The sequence below is a fragment of the Homo sapiens genome, chromosome 6, assembly GCF_000001405.40.
Source record: "Homo sapiens chromosome 6, GRCh38.p14 Primary Assembly".
NCBI classification, from domain to species: Eukaryota; Metazoa; Chordata; class Mammalia; order Primates; family Hominidae; genus Homo; species Homo sapiens.
Genome location: NC_000006.12, coordinates 166,387,617 through 166,393,513, shown reverse-complemented (window position 1 = coordinate 166,393,513; position 5,897 = coordinate 166,387,617).

Here is a 5,897-nt window from a genome sequence, read left to right as displayed (position 1 = left end):
CCTTAGCTGCCTCCCCGCGGGGCAGAGCTCAGGACCTGCAGCCCGCCATGCCTGAGCCTCCCCCCGCCCCCGTAGGCTCCCGTGTGGCCCGAGCCTCCCTGATGAGCGCCGCCCCCTGCTCCACGGCGCCCAGTCCCGTCGACCACCCAAGGGCTGATAAGTGCAGGCGCACGGCGCGGGACTGGCAGGCAGCTCCACCTGCGGCCCCGGTGCAGGATCCACTAAGTGAAGCCAGCTGGGCTCCTGACTAGTGAGGACTTGGAGAAGCTTTATGTCTAGCTAAAGGATTGTAAATACACCAATTGGCACTCTGTATCTGGCTCAAGGTTTGTAAACACACCAATCAGCACCCTGTGTCTAGCTCAAGGTTTGTGAATGCACCAATCCACACTGTATCTAGCTACTCTAGTAAGGACTTGGAGAACCTTTGTGTCGGACACTCTGTATCTAGCTAATCCAGTGGGGAGGTGGAGAACCTTTGTGTCTAGCTCAAGGATTGTAAACGCACCAATCAGCACCCTGTCAAAACAGACCACTCCGCTCTCTGTAAAATGGACCAATCAGCAGGATGTGGGTAAGGCCAGATAAGAGAATAAAAGCAGGCTGCCCGAGCCAGCAGTGGCAACCCGCTCAGGTCCCCTTCCACACTGTAGAAGCTTTGTTCTTTTGCTCTTTCCAATAAACCTTGCTACTGCTCACTCTTTAAGTCCACACTGCCTTTATGAGCTGTAACACTCACCGCGAAGGTTTGCAGCTTCACTCCTGAAGCCAGCGAGACCATGAACCCACCAGGAAGAGCGAACAACTCCAGACACGCCACCTTAAGAGCTGTGACACTCACCGTGAAAGTCTGCAGCTTCACTCCTGAGCCAGGAGTTAACTCTAGCTCAAGAATTTCCTAAAATAAAGGGAAAGGTTCCCAAATACTCAAGAATCAAAACACACAGCAGTGATTCATTTTCTCACCAATGTCACATGGCAGATGGAAGAGCTGATTTAAAAGCTTCATGTCACCCAGGTAGATAGGAGGATTTATTGGCAATTGAAAATGCTGGAATACAAGTCAATAATAATGATTTTACAGATTGTTTCTAACATTAATATATAGGCAGTAGGTTTTCATTGTAATAAACAGCATTATGTAGAATAGCTACAATTACACCCTGCCGGGCATGGTGGCTCACGCCTGTAATCCCAGCACTTTGGGAGGCTGAGGTAGGTGGATCACTTGAGGTCAGGAGTTCGAGACCAGCCTGGCCAATGTGGTGAATCCCCATCTCTACTAAAAATACAAAATTAGCCGGATTTGGTGGTGCATGCCTGTAATCCCAGCTACTTGGGAGGCTGAGGCAGGAGAATCGCTTGAACCTGGGAGGCGGAGGTTGCACTGAGCCGAGACCATGACATTGCACTCCAGCCTGGGCGACAAGAGCGAAACTCTGTCTCAAAAAAAAAAAAAAATTACACCCCAAAATCTAAGACATGTTTTTCGATTTATGCAGTCACTTTTTAATTCAATGTTATTACAACTCAATTGAAACAAGTAGGTGAACTGAGGTAACTTGAAGTGATGTAGCTTTGAAAGGGATGTTTTTGCTTCAAAGTGAATCAGTTCTTACAAAGATGAACCCATTTTGTCAAGGTGAATATAAATGTTAAATGAACATAATTTTTTGGCAGTCAATTCAGCTTTGGAAAACTTTTCAGTATATCTGGAACAACTTGGGTATCTGATATACTTTTAAAACCTGTAATTTTTGAAATTCAAATATAGATCAAGTATTGCCAATGAAATTTAGCACCTGAATTGAGATGAATCATAATTGCAAAATGCACATCAGGTTTTGAAAACTTAGCACGAAAAGAGGAAAAGAAAATATTTCAATAATAACTTCTATATTGATGACATGGTGCAATAATATTTTGGATATAGTGGGCTAAATAGAATATATCATTAAAATCAATTTGACCTTTTAAAAACATGTTTAATGTGTCTACTAAAAACGTGAAGTTCCAGCGTGGCTCCCATTATAATCCTGTTGGACATATTTGGGCTCAGAACCTGATGCTTCAAAGTATGCACTTTTGCATGCTGGGAACTTTAAAGGAGATTGGAAGGGCCCAGAAACAAGGTCCTCCTGTCTCATGGCCCTCTCTTTCCTGCAAAGCAAGCCATAAAACCTGGAATGGTCCCTCTCTCCCTTCTCCGTTGAAGACCCTTATTCCAGAGGGGTCCTGCCCAATACCCAGGAGGAAGGAGGTCCTGAAAAATCTGACACACACACCTTGCTGGGGTTCCCCACTCAGTTTATGACCGTTACCCTTACGTTCCATCACATCTCTACTGGCTATCCTTTCTCCATCAAACCTAAGCATAAAAATACAGTTTCCCCAGATCTTTGGGTCTTTATTTCTGAAAGCTCCTGTGTCACATAAAACTTTGGTTGCGTGCATTTGTGAGGCTTTTCTCTTGTTAACGTGTCTTTTGTTACGAGGTGTTGGCCATGACCCTAATGATGAGTGGGGGGAAAGCATCACACCTTTCCTCCCCTACTTACAATAAGGATTCAGAGCCCCCTGCTCTTCCTACCAATGGTGGGTGGAGACAGGGGCTCAGTGGTCCCATCAAATGTTCCACTGGCTGGATAGGTTAGGTTACTTTCCCATAGTTTGCTTTCACTAGTTTCTGTTATTTCTCATTTATTTCCTGTAAACTGAAGGATAGAGTTAAAGATTTGATTAGATTCAGGCTCAAGATTTCCCACAGGAATACCCCTCAGTGGGGCTGCTGGCTTCACAACATCCTCCCGGCTGGCACCTGGAGCTGGCCCCCTTCCCTTAGTGAGGCTAAGGTCCAGTGGATCCCTCCTTGTGAATCTGCATTTTCCCCTTGAGGACCAACAAATCACCCCGGGCATTATACCAACTGCCTGGTGCCTGTCTGCATTTCTATTAACCATGGACTGAATGCTTTCAGCATCCCTCAATGATTTTTGTCTGAAGCAGTAACTTCACTTGGGATGGCAAAGTGGTGTTCTTTTCATTCTACTATTCTTTCACATTTATTATCTGGAATTACTCTGAAAAGAAGAGCTTTCCTTCATCACCAGGGCTAGCTGAAATAGTTCATACAGATAAAAGCTCTCTTCCCTTTACTTACCCAAAGAATTAGTGCGCTGATTAAGACAAAAGACTTTGGTGGTGGGGGGAGGGGGATTGTTTTGTTTGCTCTCTTTCTATGTATCTTTTTAAAGGTTTTTTAAAACTGTTAAGTTTTGGGCCGGGCGTGGTGGCGCAAGCCTGTAATCCCAGCACTTTCTGAGGCCGAGGCAGGCGGATCACAAGGTCAGGAGATTGAGACCATCGTGGCTAACACGGTGAAACCCCGCCTCTACTAAAAATACAAAAAAAAAAAAAAATTAGCCGGGCATGGTTGCATGCACCTGTAGTCCTAGCTACTCAGGAGGCTGAGGCAGGAGAATCGCTTGAACCCAGGAGGCGGAGGTTGCAGTTAGCTGAGATCACGCCACTGCACTCCGGCCTGGGCGACAGACCAAGACTCCGTCTCAAAATAATAATAATAATAAACTCTTAAGTTTCTACAGATAGTTTATTGGAATATAATTTGCACCCATTTAAAGTGTCCAATTCGATGGTTCTTTAGCATATTCACAGAGCTGCACAACCCTCACTACAATCAATGTTAGACCATTTTCATCACCCTAGAAGAAAGCAGGTCCCTGTTAACAGCCACTCTCTATTTTCCCCCAAAAGTCCCTGTCCCTGGCAACCACCGACCTATTTCCTGACTCTGGATTTGCCTACCTTGGGCATTTCATGTAAGCAGATCATACAATATGTGAGCAGATCATACATGAGCAGACCACACAATACATGATCCTTCCTGTCCGGCTCCTCTCACTTAGCCCTGTGTTTTCAAGGTCCTTCTATGCTGTAGGAAACACCCCTGCATCCTTCCATGCATGGGTCCATACTTCATTTCTTTCTATTGCTGAATAATATTCCATTGTAGGGATACTTAATCTGTATTTCTCTATTCACCAGTTGGTTCAACATTTGGTTTCTGCCGATCTGATTTTCCCCCAATTCAGTTTTCACCACACACAGAACCAAACGATTGTGTAAGAGAAGCAGATAAGAGGATCTAGAGAGAGCTCATGACGTTTCTGACCTTCTCCAAGGTTAGAAACCAATAGGGATAACATCTCTGCCCTTTACCCTCTAAGAGAATAGATAATGCTTTGAGGGTTAAAGGGTACAACATTTAGAACCTCTCCCTGATAAAACAAACAAACAAACCCATATGTCTGCTTAGTAGCAAAAGAAAGAGAATAGTAGGTAGGAGTTGCCATAAAGTAGAATAAAGGGAAAAAGGGAAATTCATATTTGTCCAATATATGATTGGCAGTATCAGGCCTTTTATGGCGATTATTCCTTTTAATTCTCATAAATACTCAACAACTTATATGATGTGACATTTACTGCTTTCATTTTATAGATTAAAAAATTGAGGCCTAGGGAGTGTTAGTTACTTGCCACATACAGGCAGCTACAAAGCAGTCGAGCTCATCCAGCCTGGGGTGAGGCTCTGAGCCCTCCCATGGCACCCCCCAGCTTGGAAGGCATGGAAGCTGTCGTGGTGCACAGCGGTCGGGGTGCACAGCCATCAGGGCGTACAGCCACCGGAGCCCCTGGGAGGCTTAGTCCCACAAATCCACCTTCCAAACGGGCTCTATGTTCAAAGAAGTTTGGGAGGACCAGGCGCAGTGGCTCACGTCTCTAATCCCAGCACTTTGGGAAGCCGAGACAGGTGGATCACTTGAGACCAGGAGTTCGAGACCAGACCAGCCAACATGGTGAAACCCTGTCTCTACTAAAAATACAAAAAGTAGCTGAGCATAGTGGCACAGGCCTGTAATCCCAGCTACTTGGGAGGCTGAGGCATGACAATCACTTGAACCTGGGAAGCAGATTGCAGTGAGCTGAGATCACGCTATTGCACTCCATCCTGGGTGACAGAGTGAGACTCTGTCTCAATAAAAATTTGGGAAATGCTACATGGTGAGAGTTCCTCTTGCGGTATCACAATTCACATAGCTTAGTAAAGGCTCTCAGAAGAGCTGCAGAAATTAAGTAATTGCCTGATTCAAATAAGTCTCCTAAATACATTTGACCATGAAAACCTCCTCACTATTTCTCCCTGCTCCCAGCTCCTGGGGACAGAGGGGTTGGGTAAGCTGCCTGTATAGTATGTTGAGCACTTTTCCCCTCATGACCAGCAGCGGAGAATCTGTGGGCGACAGTCCAGCACTTGGGATTATCCAGTTCCCGTCAAAGGAGGATTTTGGCTTCTATTGATGATTGCTGCTTGAATCCCTCATTTCAATAGGGATTGCAAAATAGTGATGTTTCCACTTCCTTTGACCCTTTGCCATTTATTTGCTAGCAAGTTACTGAGTTGCTAAACAGAGTAAAGATTCCTTGCCTGCAAAACCATTTCTTTGTGACTTCTCCATCCACAGTGGAAGGACTGAAACCAACCTAAGACAAAAACAGGGAGCAGGAGGGAGCAAAGCTGCTTACTTAACAGCATGTACCAAGCCCTGGGGCAGCATGTGGATTCATTAGAGGTGGGACAGGAAGGGCTTAGCTAAAATATTGTGCATTCATACTTGACTCGTTATATTGGTTTTTGAATCTAGGTGACACTGGTGACTTGGGGTCAAGGGCCCGAGTTTGTTAGCTTATTGGTGTACTACAGTACATTCTTTAAATTACTAAGCAAATGGAATTAATGTGTAACCTAAGAACCAAATAGAGGCAGGTGTTGGGCTGAGAGAAAATTGGGCAACAGGACAGAAACAAAACAATGCATC